General features: G+C 45.1%; 1 protein-coding gene across 48 annotated transcripts; it reads right to left on the reverse strand.

Annotated features, from left to right (window-relative positions):
• Nucleotides 1-436: 436 nt before the first annotated feature.
• Nucleotides 437-25,468, reverse strand: ZNF415 (zinc finger protein 415). 48 transcript variants are annotated; one of them, NM_001330766.2, is made up of 7 exons: nt 25,414-25,468; nt 16,059-16,213; nt 15,220-15,301; nt 8,871-8,991; nt 8,262-8,369; nt 7,768-7,865; nt 437-2,466 (listed from the first exon to the last, which is right to left on the reverse strand). In NM_001330766.2, the coding sequence occupies exons 4-7, from the start codon at nt 8,942-8,944 to the stop codon at nt 935-937; spliced, it is 1,812 nt and encodes a 603-aa protein (NP_001317695.1). In that variant the 5' UTR covers nt 8,945-8,991; nt 15,220-15,301; nt 16,059-16,213; nt 25,414-25,468; the 3' UTR covers nt 437-934. The 48 variants fall into 48 exon arrangements, with proteins under 48 accessions (NP_001317695.1, XP_024307367.1, XP_047295039.1 ...); XM_024451599.2 differs by having other exon boundaries at nt 7,768-7,890; XM_047439083.1 differs by lacking the exon at nt 15,220-15,301 and adding an exon at nt 14,962-15,174 and having other exon boundaries at nt 25,307-25,468.
• Between the last annotated feature and the right edge of the window lie 1,170 nt (nt 25,469-26,638).

Raw genomic sequence — 26,638 nt, forward strand, 5'->3', positions numbered from 1 at the left:
CACCCAAAGTGCTGGGATTACAGGTGTGAGCCACTGCGCCCGGTCGTGGTCTGCTCTGTTTCATGGTCAGGTTGCAGGTCATCTCTTTCCTGTAACCCAAAGTGCCGTCTATCAGGAGAACACCCTAAACACAATAAGGATGATGATCAACACCATCATTTTGCATTATTCTCTGCCTGCCCCCATGCTTGGTAATTTGCCAAGGCAGAGTCCTTATTCTTCAAAGAATCTGAATAGAAATGATCCTCATCTAATGCAGTGAGCCCTTCCATCTTACTGATTCTTTCCCAGACATTGCCATGAAAGGCAGGTAAGGAGGCCTATCAACACATTTCAAGGTTTTGGTTGAAAGTCATAAATCCTAAAGTATAAAGTAGTAGCCTTGCAAGACACCTAAAATAAATAAATAAAATATTTTAAAATCTGAGACAACCAGTGACTTCAAACATCCTGCAACCTTTAATATATATCATGTTGTGTGAGTTTTAACATATTTGGGCTTGCATTTGTTCTACAATGTGTAATATGAAAAGTTTATCAGCACAACTAGACTGAATTATTCCTCACATAAATCCTTGGATGTGTTACAGTTTTGATCCTTGGTTAATAGCTTCAACATGCACAAAATATACAAAGATGTTTACACATTTTGATGTCTAGTGAGTTGTGAGACCTAAATGAAGCCTCTGCCACACAGTTAGGTGTATATGATTTCTCTTTAGCATGGACTCTGATGTCAATGAATGCTTGAACTTGTGATGAAGGGTTTGCTGTACTCGTAAGGATTCTCTCAAGAATGAAATTCTCTGATGCTGTGTAGGAGTGAATTGTGACTGAAAACCTTGCCACATTTATTATACTTGTATGGTTTCTCTCTGATATAAATTCTTTGATGACTCACAGGATTTAAACTTTGACTGAAGACCTTGCCATATTAATTTCTTTTATAAGGTTTCTCCTTAGTATGGATAATTTGATGTCTGAAGAGGTTTGGGCGCACACTAAAGGACTTCCCACAATCACTACATTTGTAAGGTTTCTTTCCAGTATGGATTATCTGATGTCTAGTGAGGTTTGGGCGCACACTAAAGGATTTGCCACACTCATTACATTTGTAAGGTTTTTCTCCAGTATGGATGACCTGATGGGTAGTTAGGCTTGAATGCACACTGAAGCCTTTGCCACATTGATTACATTTGTAAGGCTTCTCTCCAGTATGGATGACCTGATGGGTAGTTAAGTTCGAATGCACACTAAAGGCTTTCCCACACTCATTACACTTGTAAGGTTTCTCTCCAGTATGAACTCTCCGATGACTCGCAAGGTGTGAATTGTAACTGAAAACCTTACCACATTCATTGCATTTGTAAGGTTTCTCTCCAGTATGAATTCTCCAATGCCTTGCAAGGCTTGAAGTCTGACTGAAGACTTTACCACATTCATTACACTTGTATGGTTTCTCCCCAGTGTGAATTCTCTGATGAGTTGCAAGGCTTGAAGTCTGACTGAACACCTTGCCACATTCATTGCATTTGTAAGGTTTCTTGCCACTATGAATTACCTGATGGTTGGTAAGTGTTGACCTCACACTAAAGGCTTTGCCACACTCTTTACATGTGTAAGGTTTCTCTCCAATATGAGTTTTCTGATGTAGTGCAAGGCATGAATTTCGACTGAAGACCTTGTCACACTCATAACATTTGTAAGGTTTCTCTCCAGTGTGAACTCTCCGATGTAGTGCAAGGCATGAGTTGCGACTGAAACTTCTGTCACATTCATTACATTTGTATGGTTTCTCTCCAGTATGAACTCTCCAATGACGCGCAAGGTTTGATTTTTGACTAAAGACCTTGCCACACAGATCACATTTATATCCTTTCTCTCCAGAATGACTTACCTGACGTACAGTCATGTGTGAGCCATGATTCAAGGCTTTGTCGCACTCAATATATCTGTAAGGTTTTTCCCTAATGCATGATTTCTGTTCTTGTGTGAGTAATGAAGAACAGATGAAATCAGTCCCATATTTATTAGAAACATGGGTTTTGATGGTAGAAGAAATTATTTGGGGTGGTGAAACTGAGGAACCATGGTTGACAGACTTCTCAACATGGTTACATTCATAAATTTTCCCTTCAGCTTGAAACTGCTGCAGTTCATGGGGATGTGGTAGAAAGCTTAATCCAAGCTGATGTTTAATAGACTTGTTTCCTATACCTCTTCTATCGCGTTGGTCTCTCCTACAAGTAAGATTTTCTTTTGGGGCCGTAGTCACTTTGTTGCAATTTCTTTCATCATCTCTCCACTGACAGTCAAAGTCGTGTATTTTTTTCTTGATTTCCCTGAAGCAAAACTCTTCAATGTCATGTTTTTCATGTTGTTCCAATGTCACTGTGTGGAATACTTCTCCTGGGTTACCTTCCTGTTGTGGTGCTAGTTCCTTGATTACACAGTTACGAGACAGATCTATAAGAAATGAAAACCATAGGTTTCCAATTAATTAGAGACAGTATATAAATATTTCATACTGAATAACAGAATTACACAAAAAGCAACATTTATATACAACAGAGTTATAAAACTTCCCAATCATGATCTTTAATTTTTACGAACACAAAGGAATCACATTCTTTAGTAAAAAAAGGGTGATTACATGGCATTCAAATAAATTCTAGGGAAGGACAGATTCAAACATCCTATGACCAAAACACATTGTACAAACCTACGTTAGCCCTGAAAGGAGTATTTTTTCACCTTGACAGCAAAGTACACACCAATTGGCAGAAAATACATGGCTGTCTCATTATTGAAATAAATATTACATTTTACCTAGCCACAGCATATTTACTGTGCCCATATAAATGAAAAAAGTACTACACAATATATCATAATGGTAACTAAGCCACAACAAACTTACGGAATAAGTAAGATACATAAATGATAATTCTGAATTGCAAAACAGTAATAGCACTGAGAAAACGAGACAAAAACTAATAAAACACTGTTAAAAATAGCTAATTTTTCTGAATACCTGTTATGAAAATATCTGTACCCACCTAGACCAGGCATTTTTGACATTAATGAGTGATGCATGTCAGTTATATTGCATGAAACTTACTAAAAACCCATCATCTGTAAACCATAACAATTAATTAATAAAACACTGTAGTAACCCATGATAAAAATGCAAACCAAAAACTAGTAACTACACTTGTACAAAGTTATAGCCTGTAAATGATTCTCTCCTAAGAAAAAAGCAAGAACTATTTCAGAACCAGCACACAACCTGTGAACTGGAATATATGTTAAGATCTCTGACATTTGATGCATGAGGTCAGGTAAACACATAGCATTATAAAGAAGAATTGAAGAACAAAGTCAGAAATCACAATTATGACTTCACACCTGCACTTATGTAACAAACAGCCAGTCAATAACGCAATTCCCTACATATGCATTGCCCTTTCATGACCTAGTTCATCAGCCACACAATATACATAAGAGTTTGTACTTGGAAAATTTATTAACTGAAATCAGAGAACACAATGTTTAAAACGAATTGAAAATAAAATCAAACAAAATATAATGCAGTCTCTACGGTCTGAATATGTTGGCCAAAATTCGTATGCTAAGGTCCTATCCTCCAGTGTGATGTTGTTGCAGATGGCGCGTTTGGGATATAATTAGGTCATGAGGTTGGACTAGTCAAAAATAGGATTAATGCCCTTACAGGACAAAACATAAGAGCTTGTTTTCTCTTGCCCTTTCCATCATGTGGGACAGTCAGCGAGCCAGTACCAGGAACTGATTCACCTGGCTCCTTAATTTTGACTTCCCAGCTTCCAGGTCTGGGAGATATAAATTTCTGTGGTTTAGTTCTCCTAGCCTATGATATTTCTTTTTTTTTTTTTTTTTTTTTGAGACCCAGTTTCTCTTGTCACCCAGGCTGGAGTACAATGGCGCAATCTCGGCTAACTGCAACCTCTGCTTCCTGGGTTCAAGCGATTCTCCTGCCTCAGTCTCCCAAGTAGCTGGGATTACAGGTGCCTACCACCATGCCTGGCTAATTTTTATATTTTTAGTAGAGATGGGGTTTCAGTATGTTGGCCAGGCTGGTCTCGAACTTCTGACCTCAGGTGATCTGCCCACCACAGCCTCCCAAAGTGCTGGGATTACAGGCGTGAGCCACTGCGCCCGGCCCGCCTATGATATTTCTTATGGCACGATGAGTTATATAAGACAGAAAAAGGACAATCTCATCACAATCATCACAGAAGGCTGATCAATCTTATTAAACAAACTTTGGGACTTTACTGTAAGACATGCAATATTCCAAGTAATCACACACCACCACCTTGTTTTAAAAACTTTCAAGTAAATTGTTATTATTTTTCAAATAAACACATTAGGCCCATGGTATTCATGTATCTAACCTAAATTTTCACAGAAAATAAGAGAGAAAAACAAGACTAAATCCTGGGCCAGCAGGCTCAGACTTTTTTTTATTTTTATTTTTGGAGACACAGTCTCGCTCTTTTGCCCAGGCTGGGGTGCAGTGGTGTGATCTCGGCTCACTGCAACCTCCGCCTCCCAGGTTCAAGCAATTCTCTTGGCTCAGCCTCCTGAGTAGCTGAGATTACAGGCACCTGCCACCATGCCCGGCTACTTTTTTTGTATTTTTAGTAGAGAAGGGGTTTAACCATGTTGGCCAGGCTGGTTTCGAACTCCTGACCTCAAGTGATCCGCCCACCTCAGCCTCCAAAAGTACTCGGATTACAGGCGTGAGCAACCACGCCGGGCCATCAGACGTGTTTTTAAGCACATGTCCACCCACAGGCAGTGTGGAAAACCTGGGTGGACATGTGCAGTGTGGAAAACTATCAGTCACAGCAAGAATGCACCCAGGCGAGGAGCATATGAAGAAAAGGAGCTACAAGAGCTGGGCTGTGTTGATAATAGTGTTATTCAGTCAGCTCTCATGGAAGGCAGCTATGCTCACCACTACACCACCAATGCATCTAGTCAGTCAGCTCTCATGGATAATGGTATCTGAGTCATCACTTCCTACACATACTGATTTAGGCAGATCCTGACTTATAAAGCGGTTGAGTAGTGTCTTGTCTTGCATAGTGAGAGTAGTGTGGAGGGTGAGGAAGTCCTGTGGCAATTGGGGTTTTCAGGAATACAAAACCAATATGCTAAAAAGCAACAGTATATTCCATGCAGATCAAGGTATCATGTGAGGATAGGAGAGAGGAAGGGCAAGAGCACAGGAGAGGGAGTAATGGGCATGTCAGAGGAAAATCTGCATGCACATGTGTGGGATATAATTCCACTAGGACAGTTACAATTCTGACCTTGGGGCCAGGCGTGGTGGCTCACGCCTGTAATCCCAGCACTTTGGGAGGCCGAGGCGGGTGGATCACATGAGGTCGAGAATTCAAGACCAGCCTGACCAACATGGAGAAACTCTGTCTCTACTAAAAATACAAAATTAGCCAGGTGTGGTGGTGCATGCCTGTAATCCCAGCTACTCAGGAGGCTGAGGCAGGAGCATCGCTTGAACCTGGGAGGTGGAGGTTGCGGTGAGCTGAGATTGTGCCATTGTATTCCAGCCTGGGCAACAAGAGCGAAACTCCATCTTAAAAAAAAAAAAAGTATCATAAAAAATACAGAATTTACGACTAAATGAAAAAGATGTTCATTTATACCACATGTAAATGTACAAGATGAAACTAGTAGTGGCTTAAACAAATGACACTGGACTTTAAAAACCGAGGCATTGGCCGGGCGCGGTGGCTCACGCCTGTAATCCCAGCACTTTGGGAGGCCGAGACGGGCGGATCACGAGGTCAGGAGATCGAGACCATCCTGGCTAACACGGTGAAACCCCGTCTCTACTAAAAATACAAAAATTAGCCGGGCATGGTGGCGCACGCCTGTAGTCCCAGCTACACGGGAGGCTGAGGCAGGAGAATGGCGTGAACCCGGGAGGCGGAGCTTGCAGTGAGTCGAGATCGCGCCACTGCACTCCAGCCTGGGCGACAGAGCGAAACTCCGTCTCAAAAAAAAAAAAAAAAAAAAAAAAAAAACCGAGGCATTACAGCAGTGTAAAGCAAAAAAAGAACAAACGAAAAAAAACCAAGGCATCATTCAGCTTCACAAGCTCCCTCCACAAGAGGGAGGTTTGAACCTACAACAAATTGAACCCAGGCTGAACAAAGGTTTGTTGATGAGAATGAACAATGGTGCACACAGGATGGAAAATGAACAAATGTGGTGTGAACAATAGTTTAGTCAAGAGCCTCATACATATGATGCTGTGAACTTGAACAATGTCATCGCTAGGAGAAACTCCCACACCAACTGCTGGCTTAGGGGAGATGATCATTAGTTTATGTGTCCAGCGCTGTCACAGTGCCCTCCAGGTACACTTTTGTGAGGCTCCTCAAAACTAGAAGGACATCTGGACACACTTGTCAGTCAGGCTCGCCTGATATTTTGTATCTTATATCCTGAGCCATGCTGACAATTCTGCTGAACGCTTTAAGGGGCATCTCTACATGTAGCAGGATGCTATTCAATTATATTAAAGAGTTTTCCCTCATAAATTTTCTGTTATCATATAAACACCCTCCACAAGAGACTCCAGGAGAAGGTATGCATAACCTATAGGTTGGTTATCATAGCAGGAATAGAGAAATGACAGACTCCAGGAGTGTGTATATCAAAAGCTGGGTTTGTTTTTTTTTGAAACGGAGTCTCACTCTGTTACTCAGGCTGTAGTGCAGCGGTGCCATCTCAGCTCACTGCAACCTCCGCCTCCTGGGGTCATGTGATTCTCCTGCCTCGGCCTCCTGAGTAGCTGGGATTACAGGTGCATGCCACCACACCTGGCTAACTTTTGTATTTTTAGTAGAGACGGGGTTTCACCATGTTGGTCTTGAACTCCTGACCTCAGGTGATCCGCCCACCTCAGCCACCCAGAGTGCTGGAATTACAGGCGTGAGCCACCGCACCTGGTCAAAAGTTGGTTTTCAGAGGAAAAATCATGCAAACTTAAGAGAAAACAAAATCAGGAAGAGCCAAGGTTTTTCCACATTCATATAGCAGTGAGACCAACGGAAAAGAGAGAAAAATACAACATATGAGGCTAGATTTTGAAAGATCTTGAGATGGGATTGTCTGCTCTGCCTACAGAGGGATCCTAAGCTAAGAGCCTGAAAGACTAAGACGTACTCCCTGTGTAGGACGGGGGATCCCAGTGAAGACCTGTCAACTGTTCTTACAGTTCTGCAGAGTAACAATCCCAGAAGAACCAACTCCCTCCCCTGGTCCACACACCCACGAACTGTGGCAAAAGCAGAACAGAAGAAATGGCTGAGGGACCACAACAGGTAGAAAGGGCTTGAGACAGCTCCTTGCAGCTCCCCGGGGCCTCAGATGCAAAGAAGGAGCAGCCAGTGTTTCCCATCTTGTGGGCAGGTCTTCCAAGCACCAGAAATGGGGTGGAGCATGGATAGCTCCAGGCATCAGGACTGTGGAGGCCTCCCCTCTGATCTATATGGAGAGCGAACTGAGCATCAGGTGGCATCAAGAACAGGAGAGACCGGCCGGGCGCGGCAGCTCAAGCCTGTAATCCCAGCACTCTGGGAGGCCGAGACGGGCAGATCACCTGAGGTCAGGAGTTTGAGACCAGCCTGACCAACATGGTGAAACTCCGTCTCTACTAAAAATACAAAATTAGCCAGGCATGGTGGTGCATACCTGTAATCCCAGCTACTCGGGAGGCTGAGGCAGGAGAATCATTTGAATCCGGGAGGCGAAGGTTGCAGTGAGCCGAGATTGCACCATTGCACTCCAGCCTGGGCAATAAGAGCGAAACTCCATCTCAAAAAAAAAAGAACAACAGCAACAAATAACAGGAGAGACCACGGGAGAAGTAGACCCTTGTGATGTGGCCCCTCCCGGACCCCTCAGAGTGAAGGAGCCAGAGAGTTCACGGAAGTCAGAGGGCAATGCTGTCCATCATGATGAGCACTTCCATTTGTCTCTGTTTGAGCTGCAGCCCCCACTGGACAGCAAAAGGATCAACTATGACACGTCTCAAGAGCAGAGGGAGAAGTAGGGGAAGTTTAAAATTTCCTCTAAGAGCTCACAGGATATAAACATTTGTTTTCCTACAGAACTCTCCCACTTGCTAAGAGTTTCCAAACATAGTGTAATGGTGTGGCTTCCTCTCCCCTCATCTGAGGTCTTACCTGTTTTCACACCTTTGATCCATTCCCACCCTTTTGGTTTTCTTGCTACTCGTACTTGGCTTTCTATGGTCCAGGGCTCTTTCCTGTGCTCCCACATAGGATAATACTCTGGTCAGGAAGAGAATTTCCCGCTTATAAAATGAATGGAACATGATGTGCTGTGGCTTTTCAAGAATCTCAGCCCTTTGCTTGGATAAGAAGAGAGGCTATCACAGATGGATCTAGGAAAATATTTCACAAATTATTTCACTGAATGCCAACTCTGAATGCTTAGGGAAGACTGTAATATGCAAATATCTAGCTCCCTTCCAAGAACTACTGAATCAAAGCACAGGGGCAGAAAACAAGAAGTGAGTATTTCAGAAGTCTACCATAAGCTTTCATGGATACTTCAGCTCTGGAACCACCACTGTTGTATCATGAAGGGGTCAGAAAATCTGGAAAAAGGGGATGGTTAAACTCCAGAGTTCACATTATGGAGCTTTTCATTTCAGAGTCAACAAGGCCTCAAACTCAGTCAGGTAATGCAGGGGCTCCCAAGAGGCACACAAGGGAAAATGGAAAGATACCAAGGGCAGATTTTGACTTCTGGAAGAAAATTATCCTCACCCAGGGAGACCAGGTTCCTGTAGTTCTCCAACATCACATCCCTGTATAAAGTCCTCTGTGTAGAGTTCAGGCATTTCCACTCATCTTGAGAGAATTCGATGGCCACGTCCCTGAATGTCAACTGTCCGTAAAATAATAAACACATTTCACCAAGAGGTTATGAAGGGAGTTACCATCTTCACACAAAATAAGAATAAAAGAGAATTTAAGTATAGATTTAATTGAAGTGTGTGTTCTGATAAATCCACACTAAGGTATTTTTGAGTACATATCTCTCCCTAATTGTGGTTTTTTTTCTCTCTTTTTTTTTTTTTTTGGTTTGAGACAAGGTCTCGCTCTGCTGCCCAGGCTGAAGTGCAGTGGCATGATCATGGCTCACTGCAGACTCAATCTCCCAGGTTCAAGTGACCCTCCAACCTTAGCTTTCCAAGTAGCTGGACTATAGGCATGTGTGTACAAAGTACATTTGAAAACTTCAACAATGAACTAGGGATCAAGCAAAAGAAAAAATTTCAGAACTTGAAGACAGGTCTTTTGAAATAAACGAGTCAGACAAAAATAAAGAAAGAAATAAAAAAGAATGAACACAGCCTATGTGACATATGGGGCAGGCACCATAAGGTGACCAAATATTTGAATTTTTGGTGTCCCAGAAGGTGGAGAGAAAATCAAAAAAGATAGAAAGCTATTTAACAAAATAATAACCAAAAACTTCCTAAGTATAGTAAAAGGTTTAGATATCTAGATACAGGAATTTCATAGATTCTCAAAGAGATACAATCCAAAAATGTCTTCTTGGCACATTATAGTCAAACTGTCAAAAGTCAAAGAAAAAGAAAGAGAATTCGGCTGGGCGTGGTGGCTCACGCCTGTAATCCCAGCACTTTGGGAGGCCAAGGTGGGCAGATCACCTGAGGTTGGGAGGTCGAGACCAGTCTGACCAACATGGAGAAACCCCATCTCTACTAAAAATACAAAACTAGCCGAGCGTGGTGGTGCATGCCTGTAATCCCAGCTACTCGGGAGGCTGAGGCAGGAGAATTGCTTGAATCTGGGAGGTGGAGGTTGCGGTGAGCCGAGATCACACCATTGCACTTCAGCCTGGGCAACAAGGGCGAAATTCCGTCTCAAAAAAAAAAAAGAAAGAAAGAGAATTCTAAAAAAAAACAGCAAGAGAAAAGCATCTAGTCACTTATAAAGGGTGCTCCATAAAACAGGAAATTTCTCAATAGAAACCTTACAGGCCAACAGAGAATGGTATGATACATTAAATGTGCTGAAAGAAAAAAAAACCCTGCCAGCCAAGGATACTATACTCAGCAAAATTATCCTTCATAAAAAGGAGAAATAGTCTTTCCCAGAGAAGCAAAGCCTGAGGGAATTCTTCACCACTAGACTGGCCCTACAAGAAATGCTTAAGGGATCCCTACATCTAGAAGCAAAAGGACAATATTGGCCGTCATGAAAACACACAATACTATAAAACCCACTGTTAGAGCAAACATGCAAGTAAGGAAAGGAGTCAAATGTAAATGTTACTATTATAGAAAACCACCAAACCACAATGAAAAACAATTAGAGAAAGGAGCAAACATACAAAACAACCAGAAATCAATTAATAAAGTGACAGTAATAAGCCCTCGCATATCAATAATGAACTTTATGTAAATGGATTAAACTTTCCACATAAAAGATATAGACTGGCTAAATTGATACAAGCGTGTAACCCAACTATATGCTACCTTTAAGAAACTCATGTCAATGTAAAGACACAAATAGACTCAAAGTGAAAATATGAAAAAAGGTATTATATGCAAATGAAACCAAAAGCAAGCAGAAGTACCTCTACTTCAATCTAACAAAATGAATTTTAAGTTAAAAACAGTAAAAGAGATGAAAAAGGTCATTATATACTAATAAAGAGATCAATTCAATAAGAGGAATATAACAATTCTAAACATATATGCACCCAACACTGGAGCATCCAGACATATAGGGCGAATATTATTAGATTTAAAGGGAGAGACACAATCCAAAAATAATAATAGTTAGGGATTTCAGCATTAGACAGCTGATTTAGACAGAAAATTAACAAAGAAACACTGAATTTAAACTGCACTTTAGACTAAACAGATCTAAGAGATATTTACAGAACATTTCATCCAACAAGTACAGAATACACATTCTTTGCATCAGCGCATAGAACATTCTCCAAGACAGACTACATATTAGAACACAAAACAAGTCTCAACACATTTTTAAAATATCAAAATCTTAGTATCTTCTTAGAACAACAATGGAATAAAATTAGAAATCAATACCATGAGAAACTTTGAAAACTGGCAAATACATGGAAATTAGACAACATGCTCCTAAATGACCACTGGGTCTAGGAAGAAATTAAGGGGGAAATTAAAAAAAAAAAATCTTGAAACAAGTAAAAATGGAAACACAATATGTCAAAACCTATGGAATACAACAAAAGCAATGCTAAGAGGGAAGTTTATAGTAATAAACACCTACTTGGAAAAAGTAGAAAAATTTCAAATAAGCCAGGCACGGTGGCTCACTCCTGTAATCCCAGCACTTTGGGAGGCCAAGGTGGGTGGATCACCTGAGGTCAGGAGTTCAAGACCACCCTGGCGAAGATGGTAAAACCCCATCTCTACTAAAAATACAAAAATTAGGCCGGGCGCAGTGGCTCACGCCTGTAGTCCTAGCACTTTAGGAGGCCAAGGCGGGCGGATCACGAGGTCAGGAGATCAAGACCATCCTGGCTAACATGGTGAACCCCGCTTCTACTAAAAAAATACAAAAAAATTAGCTGGGTGTGGTGGTGGGCGCCTGTAGTCCCAGCTACTCGGGAGGCTGAGGCAGGAGAATGGCATGAACCCAGGAGGCGGAGCTTGCAGTGAGCCCAGACCGAGCCACTGCACTCCAGCCTGGGCGACAGAGGGAGACTTCGTCTCAAAAAAAAAGAAAATACAAAAATTAGCCAGGTATGTGCCTGTAATCCCAGCTACTCTGGAGGCCGAGATGGGAGAATCGCTTGAACCAGGGAGGTGGAGGTTGCAGTGAGCCAAGATTGCACCACTGCACTCCAGCCTGGGTGACAGAGCAAGACTCCATCTCAAAAAAAAAAAAAAAAAAAAAAAAAATTTAAATAGACAGTCTAACAATGCACCTCAAGGAACTAAGAAAGCAAGAACAAATCAAACCCAAAATTAGTAGAAAGAAAAAAATAACAAAGATCAGAGCAGAACTAAACAAAATAAATACTACAAAAACACAAAGGATCAACAAAATGAAATGTTGGTTATTTTTAAAAAAGATAATATAATCTATAAACTACTAGCTAGATTAATCAAAAAGAAGACCCAATAAACAAAATCAGAAATAAAATGGATACGTTACAACTGATAACACAGAAATATAAAAGATCATCAGAGACTATTATAAATAACTACACACTAACAAACTAGAAAACCTAGAGGAAATGGATAAAATCCTGGACACGAAGCACCAAGACTGAATCAGGAAGATTCAGAAAACCTTAACAGACCAATAATGAAATTTAATCAGGAATAAAAAGTCTCTGAACAAAGAAAAGTCTGGGACCAAATGGCTTCACTGCCGAATTCTATCAAACTTTCAAAGAAGAACTAAGACTGATTCTCCTCAAACTAAAATTGAAACGGAGGGAATTCTCCTTAACTCATTCTATGAAGCCAGCATTCCCGATATCAAACCAGAAAAGAAAAAAAAAAGGAAAACTATAGGCCGAAATCCCTCCTGAACACAGATGTAAAAATCCTCATCAAAATACTAGCAAATTGAATATTTTGCTATATTCCCAACACATAAAAATGATAAATACTCAAGGTAATAGACACTTCAAATACCATTACTTGATCATTACACATTCTATGACACACGTAACAAAATATCACATCTGCCCCTTAAATATGAACCAATATTATGTATCAACTTGAAAAAGGAGCAAGCTATCCTTGTTCCTTAATACGAAAACGTGTAAATATTCACAACTTGCAGGATAGAATACCCTAACAAAACATTTACTGACAATATTGTTCTAAAATCTCACAATGATTAAACACATTTCAACAGGGCTTGAGCTGTCTGTTCTCACAGAACTGACAATAGTGGCTCACCACTGAGACCTGTGTGAGGGTGTAAGGCTTGACAGGAAAAGGGATACTCTATATCTAAGCACTAAATATCTCTATTGAGAGTTTCACCATAAAACAAATATATACATCATGTGATGTTTAAAATAAAAGCAGCATAATACTTAATAACAATACATATAATAAGAATATGGATATATCCTCTTTAATGAAAAAGGAGTTCTGCTCTGATGTCTGAGCAAAACTGTTACCATTTTTACCTAAAATATCTGATGCCTAAGAGACCCTGCAGGAATAGCACCATCTCCGTGGTATGCAAGTGCTGAGAATGGTTTAAAAACTTGGCTGGGCGCGGTGGCTCATGCCTCTAATCCCAGCACTTTGGGAGGCCGAGGTGGATGGATCACGAGGTCAGGAGTTGGAGACCAGCCTGACCTACACGGTGAAACCCCGTCTCTACTAAAAATACAAAAATTAGCCAGGTGTGGTGGCGCGTGCCTGTAATCCCAGCTAGTCAGGAGGCTGAGGCAGGAGAATTGCTTGAACCTGGGAGGCAGAGGTTGCAGTAAGCTGAGATCGCGCCACTGCACTCCAGCCTGGGTGACAGAGGAAGACTCAAAAAAAAAAAAAAAAAAAAAAAAAGTCCTACAGCTGGCCGGGCACAGTGGCTCCCGCCCGTAATCCCAGCACTTTGGGAGGCCGAGGCAGGCAGATCATATGGTCAGGAGTTCAAGACCAGCCTGGCCAACATAGTGAAACCCCATCTCTACAAAAATTAGCCAGGCATAGTGGCGGGTGCCTGTAGTCTCAGCTACCTGGGAGGCTGAGGCAGAGGAATCACTTGAACCTGGGAGGTGGAGGTTGCAGTGAGCCAAGATCGAGCCACTGCACTCCAGCATGGGCGACAGACTGAGACTCCGTCTCAAAAAAAAAAAAAAAAAGTCCTACAATTATACTTTATTTTTGTCGTTGTTGTTGTTGACACAGAGTCTCGCCCTGTCACCCAGGCTGGAGTGCAGTGCAGTGGTGCGATCTCCACTTACTGTAACCTTTGCCTCCCAGGTTCAAGTGATTCTCCTACCTCAGCCTCCTGAGTAGTTGGGATTACAGGCGTGCGCCACCACGCCTGGCTAATTTTTGTATTTTTAGTAAAGACGGGGTTTCACCATGTTTGCTGGTCTCAAACTCCTGACCTACAATGATCCGCTCACCTCGGCCTCCAAAGTGCTGGGATTATAGGCCTGAGCCACCGTGCTCGGCCTTACAGTTACACTTTTATGTTGACTTTATGTTTCAAAGTCAATAAAGGAATAAAACGCCCTCTAGTACTGATGTCTGTATCTCAACTTTACATTCCATTCCAAGTCATTAACAGTGTGGAGTCAGAGACATACTGATATACTAGTTTTATCTGGATTACAAAATCAGGCACAAAATATATCCCCTTATTGGCTGCCTTTTCCAGGATTTACCAGGTATTTGTCTATATTAACACCTGACTTTAGGCCAGGCACGGTGTCTCATGCCTGTAATCCCAGCACTTTGGGAAGCCGAGGTGGGTGGATCACCTGAGGTCTGGAGTTCGAGACCAGCCTGACCAACATAGAGAAACCCCGTCTCTATTAAAAATACAAAATTAGCTGGTTGTGGTGGTGCATGCCTGTAATCCCAGCTACTCGGGACGCTGAGGCAGGAGAATCACTTGAACCCGGGAGGCAGAGGATTCAGTGAGCCGAGATTGCGCCATTGCACTCCAGCCTGGGCAACAAGAATGAAACTCCATCTCAAAAACAAACAAACAAACAAAAAACAAAAACAACAAAAAACATGACTTCCATGGGCAGCTTCTCTATTCCTGGGCTACGGAGAGCCGACAGTGCATCCAAATGTGGCCCCTGAACAATCCCTGCTGCCCAACAGCACTGACACCACGGGACCCTCACCCCGTCTCCATCCATGTCTGGGTGTGAGCCCTTCCCAGGACCATGCCCAGTGGACTCTTCAGAAGTTCATGTCACAGGGTCAGGGTGAGACGGAATCTCAGTAGAGATGAGAAGGACTGAGGGAAGGCACGGGTCAATGTGAGCAAACGCGTCAGGCAGGATGCTTCAGACTCAGAGAAGATTTGCAGCTCCAAGGCATTGTCTCCCACCTTTCTGAAAAGAGGGAGACAGAATGATCCACACAGAATCTTTCTTTACCTGAGTAAAAGCCATTCCTGACTCCTTTGCTCTCCTCTTCTGGGTTTCTTCCTCATGTGCCAGGAGTCTTTGGAAGTCAATGCTGAATAACAACAACAAGTGCTGTTTATTGCTTAGAAACAACACACCCCCTCTTGTGTGACAAGCACACACATACACAGGGAGGAGCTCGCCCTGTGCAAAGACGGTCCTCTGCCGCCCACTACACCAGGGTGGCCCCAGGGACAAGAAACTCCTACAGGAAAACCAATACATGAGTCTTCTGACCCCTTTCTTCAGAACTCCCTCCCCTCCTGGAGAAGCTCACACACATGCTGCAGCAGTGGGGAGGAGACCCAGCCCTGATTAAACCCCATGCAGAGCACAGCCCCCTTTCCCTCTCTGGATCCCAGGCTGGGCTCAGCCCTCAGAAATAGAGGACACAGAGCCTTGGTGTTCAGGGCTGGATATAGATTAGAATCATGTTGGGCACTGTATTATCGAGGGTGGGTCCCAACCTGTGTGAATGGGAATCTCTGGGACAGGGATGGGGGCACAAGAGGTATATCTGCAAAGTACCCCAGCACTTTCATATGAAGCCAGGGGGTAGCTCTACTCACATGTGGTCAGCCCAGCATAGCCCCCACCTTCTGACTCTATTCTCCCCTTGAGACCTTGGTGTCATCAGGATCCAGACAGTGGAAGCAGAAAGAATCAAGAGAAGCATGCAGAGGAGGTAATATGGACCAGAGGTGGGGGTGAGGGTGTAGCTGGAGTGTGAAATGGGAAGTGGGTCACAGAAGTCCCCGCTGAGAAGGTGATATTGGAACCGAGACCTGGGGAAGGAGGGGTGTTTGCACCTGCAGCTGAGGGGCCAGCGAGTTCCAGCAGAGGCACAGCCCACGTGAAGGCCTTGAGGCAGGAGCAAGCTCGGCCCAGGAACAGGAAGGACGCATGCTTGGCTGGAGCAGAGGGAGCGAGGAGGACACAGGCAGGAGATGAGGTCAGAGAGGTCCTGGGAGGGCAGATCAGGCAGGGCAGATGCTGTCAAACATTTTTCTCCCACACCTCAAAAGAATTTTGGAAATGATGTATTTCCTCACCCATTTTAATTAAATATATAATATTTTCTTTATAAATTAACCCACTTACAATGTAAAATCTTATATATTTGAAAGTCCCACGAAATACATGGTCCCGCTCATCTGAGATGTGCAGGACTGCAGGGGAATGCATCTAGGGAGTCAGGAAGTCACTTTTGGACACCTGAAAGTGGAGATACCTGTTACATGTCCTAGCAGAAAGTTGAGGAGAAGGCTAGGCGCAGTGGCTCACACCTGTAATCCCACCACTTTGGGAGGCCGAGGCAGGTGGATCACCTGAGGTCAGGAGTTCGAGACCCACCTGACCAATGTGGTGAAACCCCATCTCTACTAAAAATACAAAAAAATTAGCCGGGCATGGTGGTAGGCACTGGTAATCCCAGCCACTTGGTAGGCTGAGGCAGGAGAATCGCTTGAACCCAGAGGGCAGAGGTTGCGGTGAGCCGAGATCGCGCCACTGCTACAGCCTGGGCAACAAGAGAAAAACTCCGTCTCAAAAAAAAAAAAGAGGTTTATTTGGCTCATGGTTCTGCAGGCTGTACAAAACACAGTGCCAGCATCTGCCTCTGATGAGGGCCTCAGGAAGCTTCCGTTTAGGGTGGAGGGTGAAGGGGCGCCAGCAGGGCAGACAAAATGGTGAGAGAGGAGACGAGAGAGAGAGAGAGAGAGAGGTCAGGCTTTTTGACAACCAGCTCTCAGGGGAACTAAGAGTCAGAACTCACTCCCTAGAGAATGACATCAAGCCATTCCCAAGAGATCTGCTCCCATGACACTCACCAGGCCCTACCTCCAACTTTGGAAATCACATTTCAACATGAGAGTTGGTGGGGCAAAACAAATCATATCCTAACAATTGCACATTCTGAGGCTATGAGTGGGGCTGGCGTGTGGTACACAATTGGAGGGTTAGTAGCAGCCAGGAGCAGGAACAGACCATTCCCAGTCACTACTGAGTAGGGATCCCAAGCCCTGAGACAGGTGGGTGGGTAAGTTGGAAAAGATCTCTTCCTTGCTTCCAGGGACTCAACGGTGAAAAAAACCAAGGCCTTTAAATGAGCAAAAAGAAGAAAGAAAATCTCCAGAGACAAGGTGCAGAATAGAAAAATAGGAGAATGGAAGAGGTGCGGGGCAGGAATTAAATGACACCAGGAATTCTGGCTGTATGTTTTCTCCAGGCTGTGGTCAGCTACACAGGGACAGAAGCAGAGTAACGGAGCTGGATGTGGGGATGTCTGGGAGAAACAAATGATTTAGTGCACTTGACTTGCAAATCATCTAGTAACTGAAAGGGTCTGTTTATGTCCAATTTTTTTTTTTTTGAGACGGAGTCTCACTCTGTCACCAGGTTGGAGTGCAGTGGCGTGATCTCGGCTCACTGCAACCTCCGCCTCCCGGGTTCAAGTGATTCTCCTCCCTCAGCCTCCCGAGTAGCTGGGATTACAGGCACATGCCACCATGCCCGGCTAATTTCTGTATTTTTAGTAGAGACGGGGTTTCACCATGTTGGCCAGGATGGTCTCGATCTCCTGACCTCATGATCTGCCCGCCTCAGCCTCCCAAAGTGATAGGATTACAGGTGTGAGCCACCGCGCCTGGCCTTTTTTTTTTTTTTAAACAGGATCTTGCTGTTGGCCAGGCTAGAGTGCAGTGATGTGATGCTGGCTCAGTGCAGCCTCGGCTTCCTGTGCTGAAGCAATCCTCCCACCTCAGCCTCTCGAGTAGCTAGGACTACAAGAGGCACGAGCCACCACATCTGGCTGATTTTTAAATTTTTTATAGAGACAAGGTGTCACTATGTTACCTAGGCTCGTCTCAAACTGGGCTCAAGTGAGCGTCCTGTCTCAGCCTCTGAAAGTGCTGGGATTACAGGCGTGAGCAACCATGCCTGCCATATCACTATCATTTTAAAAATAAACTGGAGCCAGGCGCGGTGGCTCACGCCTGTAATCCCAGCACTTTGGGAGCCCAAGCAGATCACGAGGTCGGGAGTTTGAGGCCAGCCTGATTAACATGGTGAAACCCCATCTCTACTAAAAATACAAAAATTAGCCGGACATGGTGGCACGCGCCTGTAGTCCCAGCTACTTGGGAGGCTGGGGCAGGAGAATTGCTTGAACCTGGGAGGCAGAGGTTGCAGTGAGCTAAGATCACGCCACTGCACTACAGCCTGGGCAAGAGTGAGACTCCATCTCAAAAAATAAAATAAAATAAAATAAACTGGATATGGTAGAGGCACATATTCTTTTGTTTTACCATTATTATTCCTGGTGTAGACAAAAAAAAAAAAAAAGAGCCTGGCACATGACGGAGTATTTGTTGAATAAATGAGCAGAATGATACAGGGTGACACTAGTGCACCCTCTGGTACGGTGTTCACTTTGAGGGACTGATGTGTGCAGGGGTCCTGTTTCACCTGAGGATTGTCTTCACCGAGAGTGAGAAGGGACCTGAGCAGGACCAGCTGAGGGGCAGAGCCAAGGGCCCTTCATGGAGACCACTCTGCTTACCAACCTGTGGAAGGGCAAGCGCAAGTCCACCCAGAAACACATCTGGCTGACTATGGGATCCCTGTCTGAGGCTCAGCAGACCCACGTGGCCAATAAAAGACCCTAAATTCTGCAAAAAGAAGAGTTTGTCTCTGTGCCCAGGCCCCTCCATGGAAAAAAGGTCCTGGGGTCTAAGATTTCTCACTTGGCAATGATGTTGGCTTGAATATTATTCACAGACCCAGATCCTTGGGTCTTGCGTGGGGCAAACTGACTGCAGAACTGCAGGAAGTGAGAGTCTGAACAGAGCAGCAGAAAGGCAGGCAGGAGACTTGAGGGAGGGGAGAAAGGAGAGACACAAGCAGACCAACCCCTCCTCTCCCTCAATCACCCGCCTAGGGAAGCATTAGTTTCCCATCATAGAGAGGACAATGGGGAAAGGGAGAAGCGTGTGCATAGGATGAGATGTGTGTTGGGTGGACAGAAAGACTCCTTTCCCTAAATGTGACCCCATTAGCTCACCCCATTCTATTGCACAAATTCCTGAGCGGAGGGGCACCCTGTGGGGATGAACACAGCTCTTCCTGCCTCCAGTTCCTGCGTCTCCCTGCCATGACCAGGGCTGTAACCCTCCAACTCCCTTCCCAGGGCCCCGTGGCCCCTCTGCACTGGAGAAAGGTCCATGTTCCACAGCGGGTTTCAAGGACCTTGCCCCTCAGCTCCCCAGCTGCCTTGTGACTCTGTGACTCTGTTATCTTGGAATAAACAGGGAGAGGCCACCGGCCTGGCTGCAAGAATGTGGCAGCTTTATCTTCCCAAGGACAGTCCCAGTGGAAGCCTTTGGGCCGCAGGTCAGTGTGCTGTGTTTCACTCTGATTCTTGGAGAAATCTTTCCCTTACTCTGGGACCCTGATAATCACTCCCTCTTGAGTTGCACCCACAGACGCCCCCACAACAAACCCTCCCTAATGAAAGCCATCTGCGCCTGATTCTTAGGATCCCCGTTGCCCTCTGGACTCAGACACGCTTACAAACTCCCATGGGGTCTTGCACTCCCCAGATAGTCCATAAAGGTCAGGCACTGCCTGAGGACACAGGGTTTATAGAAGCCCGGCTACGAAATTTCGCAAGTCCCAGTAACAATGAAATAATACACATAAATATCTTAGGGTCTCACTGACCCACGACAATGTATTTATTTCCACTCATAGTGACTCCACCCCACACAAAAGTACCACCAAAGCCTACCAATAAAACAGAGATGTCTCTAATGATGCACGTGCCCCAATGAGATCCTAATATCTTCCAAGAAAACACTCCAAACTGTTATTTCTATCTTTCAAAATGCATCTGAAAGCTTCCTGATCGGCCGGGCGTGGTGGCTCCCACCTGTAATCCCAGCACTTTAGGAGGCTGAGGCAGGCAGATCACGAAGTCAGGAGATCGAGACCATCCTGGCCAACATGGTGAAACCCCGTCTTTACTAAAAATACAAAAATTAGCTGGGTGTGGTGGCGCGTGCCTGTAGCCCCAGCTACTCGGGAGGCTGAGGCACGCGAATCGCTTGAACCTAGGAGGTGGAGGTTGCAGTGGGCCAGGATCGCACCACTGCACTCCAGCCTGCCAACAGAGCGAGACACCGTCTCAAAAAAAAAAAAAAGAAAAAGAAAAAGAAAAAGATACTAGGGCTTTCCAAACTAATCCATGCAGTCCCATAACCACCCATAAACCCACGTCCATGTGCTACAGCCAGACCTGAGACATTCCTTTACAATTCTACTCACTCCTTGATCCCACAAGCATGCGTGGGACAGGTGTACACATCATTCACCCGGCTCATCTAGAGGCCCACCTTGCTTCCATGCCCCTATGTGACACCTCCAAGAATGCTTCTTCACTTTCCCTCATTTTTCTACTTCTCTTCCATGCATGAAGAGCACACTAGGCTGAAAGGCAAAAGGGCCTCTGGACAAAAGCAGGAATGGACACAAACTGCTATCTGCAGGACAGTGGGCCTCAAGTCTAGATTCTAGAAGTTGGCCATGCTGGAAGGAATTGCCCCCAATTTGGGGACACCATGGAATCCAGTTTAAAGGCAGGTGAAGATTGGCTGGACTGAGCTGACGGAGGATGTCCAAGAAAAAGAGAGGCCCCAGATCTCATGAGGGAGGCTGCCATTGTCCCCTTGTCTCTCCACTCACAGTCCCCTGCCAAATTCCCCCGCTGTTTAGGGAGTGCCTCCTTCATGGCCCGTTTAGCTTCTGAACTTCTCGCCACCCTTCCTGAAGGGAATCCAGGACCCCTGACTGTGAGCGCATCACCTGCTGGAAGGCAAAGCCCCTGCCCAGGATGGCCACTGGGCCCCGCTGATGTGTAGAGCGTGGAAGACCCGGGAGCTGGAGTAAGGCGGTGGGGACGCCTCGGCACTGGCTGAGGACACAGGGTCTGCGGGGCTTTTCAGGCCTCAGTGAGGCCTTCTGCTCTTACATAGACTGGAATAAATAGCCACAGGAAGTTTAGACCAATTACAGATGAAATTTCCAGAATATGAGACCATCCTCACTACCCGCCCTGTCCTTTTGGTCTTCCCTGAGGAGTCTTCAGCCCAACCCCAGCCCCAGCATCTGAACCACAACCCCGGAGCAGGTGCTGCAGTCATCCCGTGGCCCAGATGGAGACTGTGTCCTCCAATGGAGGGAGACACAAAACACTCAAAATAATCCACGCAGAAGAGTGTCCGATGTGGTGATGGATGCGGAGACAGTGAAACCTGAATAATGTGATAGAGAGTGACGGGCAGAGAGAATTTCAGATGGGGGTGGGAGGGCACGGGAGACATCTCTCAGTCTAGACCCGAAGGAGGAAAAAGGGACAGGGTCACGATCATTTAGGGACATAGGGTAAAAGCAGGGACAACGACCCGTGACAGGAAGGGTTTTGACATTTGGGAAAAGAGAAAAGCAAATGTGACTGGTGCAGAGGGAGTCATGAGATGAGGGCAAGCTCCCAGGAGGAGGCTGGACACTGGCAGGGGCCCTGGACACAGGGCTGTGGAGCCACAGTGAGGAGTTGGGCTTTTGTCCTGGGGAACACAGGAAGCTGGTGGAGGGTTCCCTGCCAGGGACTGACGTGACCTGCTTTAGATTTCTCTGTGATGTCCTCATACAGAGAAAGGCCCCGAAGATGGTCTCTGTGTCTGAGTCCCTGCTTCACATTCTTGTTTTCATTTTTAGAGGAAGAAATCCAAATAAAAATTTTAATTGCAACTGGCTAGTCCCCCCACATACAACTGCCAAACACAAATGCACACCCAATTTTGCCCCAAATTTCAGGAGTCAGTGTTGCTCACATTGAGGTTTTCTGGTCTAGTCCCTTATCTCTGTTACAGGTGGGCTCACTGAGGCTGAGAGAGGGAGTCATTTCACCAAGTTATCCTGAGAGGTCTGAGTTGAGTGAGAAGGAGGAGATGTGGCTGAATTATGATGTCACGACCTGGAAGGGCCAATGGGCTGTGTTTGCCTTTATCACATCTCCCTTAGAAAATTCCAGGACTGGCCAGGCATGTTGGCTCGTGCCTGTAATCCCAGCACTTCGAGGCTGAAGGAGGGGAGATTACTTGAGGCCAGGAGTTTGAGACCAGCCTGGCCAACATGATGAAAGCTCATCTCTATCAAAAAACACAAAAGTTAGCCGGGTGTGGTGGCCTGTGCCTGTAATCCCAGCTACTCAGGAGGCTGAGGCAGGAGAATCGCTTGAACCCGGGAGGCGGAGGTTGCAGTGAGCCGAGATTGCACCACTGTACTCCAGCCTGGGTGAGAGAGCAAGACTCCAGCTCACAAAAAAAAAAAAAAAGAAAAGAAAAAAAGAAAATTCCCAGACCCTCTTTCACATATCTGAGCAAAAGAAACTTCTTCAAGGTTTTATCACATTGGTTCCAAATGCAGCTCACAGCTTACTATTTTAACAAATTACACAAAAGAAGAAAATTGAATAATAGACTAGTTAAACTAGGTTTCCATGTTAAGGTAAAAACATCATTGACATCTTTATCAGGTACACATTGAAACAATCTAAAATTACCTACTAGTCAACAAATAATGCTTCTATTATATAATAAAGAGCAGAAAGCATGCAGACCTCTATCAAAACTGGACACAATTAATTTCAAAGGGAAAGATTTTGAAATTGTTAAGAAATATCTGATGAATTTTGGAGCTAAAAAAATTGAAAACACATTATATTTAGAAAATGCCATGAGCTGATTATAGGATGCCACCAAAGTTACTTTGGAAATAATTATATACAGAAAAATAGAAACTGAATTAATGAAGATCTATCTCAAGTTGCAAAATGAACTATACATGAGATGAAAGGGAATTAGTAAGAAAAAAAGCAAATCAATTACAAAAAGCAACAACACTTTTTTTGTTTGTTCTTTGTTTTTTTTTCAGACGCAGTCTTGCTCTGTCACCGGATCTCGGCTCTTGGCTCACTGCAACCTCCGCCTCCCGGGTTTACACAATGCTTTGCCTCAGCCTCCTGAGTAGCTGGGATTACAGATGCGTGTCACCATACCTGGCTAAGTTTTGTATTTTTAGTAGAGATGGGGTTTCACCATCTTTGCCAGGCTGGTCTTGAACTACTGACCTTGTGATTCACCCACCTCGGCCTCCCAAAGTGCTGGGATTACAGGCATGAGCCACCATGCCCAGCCTCAACACTTTTAATGTTCCTTTTGAGCAACGTTGTCCAATCCGCAGCCCAGGAAGGCTTTGAATGCAGCCCAACACAAATTCCTAAACTTCCTTAAAACATTTTGAGATTTTCTTGCAACTTTTTTTTTTTTTTTTTTTTTTTTTTTTAGCTCATCAGCTATTGTTAGTGTTAGTGTACTTTATGTGTGGCCCAAGACAATTCTTCTTCCAATGTGGCCCAGGGAAGCCAAAAGATTGGACACCCCTGCTTTAGAGAGACACTATGTAGTGACAGTCTTTCACTTTCTGCCCAGCTTTACTCTCCCACTCCCCCTTCCCCTCCCCCTGCCCCAACGCCAGGGAAGGGGAAGAGGATGACCTGTGGAATTAATGAGTCAAGTCACTTCCCTCTGCCTTAACAGGGATTGCAAGTGGAAGCTAACTTCTGATGCCATAATTATAAAATGCACCAGCCTTAATAGACAGGAGCTTTGCAATTCTCATCATCTGTGCATTTTAAACTTATAAAGACAGAAATCAACAGGTCAAAAGGTAGTCATCACATCCAGTCAGTTCACAACTCACCTGGACCTGGGGTCCCCCTCTTTCCTCATTATGGTGTGTTTCCCTCCCTCGTTCCGTACATCGCTCTCATTCTCACCTTCTTTCTCTAGCTCTTTCCTTCCCCTTTATTTTCTCCCTAGGATTCTGCTCATTTTGAGCCCCTCTCCTCTCCTGCTGCTCCTCCCCGTCTTCCCTCTATTCTTTCTCTTCCACTTGCTCTTTCCATTCTTGCAATGTATTTAATTCCTCTTTCTTCCTAATCTTTTCATTGTCCCAGTCTCCACATATTTCTGGCTCTTTCTTCCCCATTTCAGCACTCCCTGTTAAATTCCCTCTTCCCTGTTACACACCGTTGTCCCCACTCTTTGGCACCCCCAGATCCCAGGCCTCCCCGTGCTGTGGTTCTCCCTCTGCTTCTCCTTGTCATCGGCTGCCCCCTCTTGCTGTCCCGGTACCACACTGCCCTGTCTGCCCTGGCTCCAAATCCCTTCTGCTCTCCCCCACTCTCTGTCTGAGGAGCCTCCTCCTTTGCTGCCCCTCTCCCTACCTGGCTGTCCTTCATCTCTCTGGATACTGTGCTTTTTCTCGAAATGTGTCTAGTTACTTTTCTCTCCCTGCTACTTTCTCGGCTTCTTCTTCCACTCTTACTGTCTCTGAAAATCTCTAACCATCCTCTACTTTGCCATCTGTTTATTGGTTTGCCTCATTCCTTCCTGTCTCAGGTTTTCTACTGCTCTCTCTGTCCCTCGATCCCTTTGGCCCACACATTCACAGGACGGTTTGGGGTAAGACGCCTGCATCCTGGAGGAGCGCATTTTCCACGGGGTGGAGGAGGGCAGGCAAGAACATCGGGTGTCACAGGACAGGCCCTGAGCACCTCCCCAGCGCGGGCTCAGGGGAGGCCTGGGGAGCAGCGGGGCCCGGCACGAGGAGGAGGGAGGTGGGGCGCGACAGCGCCTTCAGACAGGGGTGGGGTCTGCAGGATCCCAGGACCAGGCAGAGGACGCAAGGCTCCCCGGGACTGCGGCTGCAGCTGCGGCGCTGCGCTCCAGGGGCCGACGAGGGCAAGGCTGGGAGGCACCCAGGACGGGAATACACCTCTTGGGTGAAGACTTTAAAAAGCCCGGGGATGGGGGAGGGGGTCAGGAAAAGGTTTTAAGCGGGAGGAAGAAGCAAAAGGCCGGGGACGGGGAGCAGCCTCAAAGCGACTTCAACCCAAAGGGAAGCGACTCCGGACCCACACTGCGAGGCCTGTATTCACCTGGGGTGGAGTGTACGGGGATTTTAAGGGCCGTATCGACCCTGGACATCGGCTGTGGAAATGGGAAACAGGGAGCGCAGGTTTAATCTACACAGAGGGTCACTCACGCTCGACGCCGTCACCTTCACCCAACGCGATCCGTTTCCGGGCCTGTAGGAAACTGCGCATGCGCGGAGAGAAGAGCCCGGGCAGCCTGAAGGAATGGCTGGAGTGGGCGGGGTCTGCGCCGCTTTAAGGTAAAAAAATCAGAGTTGTGTGGGCCACTTATGGTGGAAACCAAAATGTTTTCCACTTACCAAGTTGAAAACGGTTTATGTTAAAACTATTTTGCCTGCAGGTTGGACCCGATCCTGCTAGGGAGTCTCCTGCAGCTTAGCAGTCCGGGAACTGGGATTTCGGTGGGGAATCCAAAACTAGCAGTGATTGGATCCATAAAAGTTACCAAAAAACAAAAATGAAGTGTCTGGAATCACTCCACTGGATTTCAAGACTACCAATATAGGAAAGGTAATAAAAACTGTGTGGTTTTGGGGCAATAAAAGACATATGGATTGATGCAATACAGTAAGAGAGTACAAAAATAGCCTCTACAGGTACTTCCAACTGATTTTTGACAAAGTTACCAAGGGAATTGAATGAAGAATTTTTAAAAACTGGTGAGGGGCTAACTTAATATCCACAGCAGGAAAGAAGTCATCTCTACTCAAACTTCACAACCGTACAGACATTAGTTCAACATTGACCATAGCCTAAATGTAAAATATCAAACCATAAAATGGTATCCTGTAGGAGACTGAAAGAAAAAATTACTCACAATAAAATCGTAAGAATCAAGAGCTTGTTCAAAAATTCTTAGCCATAGCAGCAAAAGCATGATTCATTAAAGAAAAAAAAAATCAACTGGTATTTACCAAATTAAAAACTTTTGGTCTGTGAAAGACCTTCAGACGATGAAAGAAAAGGTATTTGATATGGTTTGGCTCAGTGTCCCCATCAAATCTCATTTTCAAGTATAAACCTCAGGTGTTGAGGGAGGGACCTGGTGGGAGGTGACTGGATCATGGGGGTGGTTTTCCCCAAGCCGTTCTCATGATAGTGAGCTCTCAGGAGATCTCATGGTTTAAAAATCTGTGATAGTTCCTCCTTTGATCGCTCTCTCTCCTGCTGCAAGCAAGACGTGCCTTGCTTCGCCTTTGCCTTCCTCTATGATTGTAAGTTTCCTGAGGGCTCCCTAGCCATGCGGAACTGTGAGTCAATTAAACCTCTTTTGTTTATAAATTACCCAGTCTCAGGTTGTCACAGGAGGGTTTAGGCAGTGTGAAAATGGACTAA

The sequence above is a fragment of the Homo sapiens genome, chromosome 19 (assembly GCF_000001405.40).
Source record: "Homo sapiens chromosome 19, GRCh38.p14 Primary Assembly".
Taxonomy (NCBI): Eukaryota; Metazoa; Chordata; class Mammalia; order Primates; family Hominidae; genus Homo; species Homo sapiens.

What these genes read in the sequence shown, in the direction of transcription:
- ZNF415 (XM_047439079.1), bottom strand. Translation starts at nt 22,207, where the DNA reads ATGACTCCCTCTCTCAGCCTCAGTGAGCCCACCTGTAACAGAGATAAG. An exon ending in CAGGAACCTGGTCTCCCTGG is followed by an intron (nt 8,370 to 8,870) that starts GTGAGGATAATT and finishes CTTCCTGACCAG; the next exon opens with AGTATTATCCTATGTGGGAG. An exon ending in GATCAAAGGTGTGAAAACAG is followed by an intron (nt 7,891 to 8,261) that starts GTAAGACCTCAG and finishes TTTTTTTTTGAG; the next exon opens with ATGGAGTTTCGCTCTTATTG.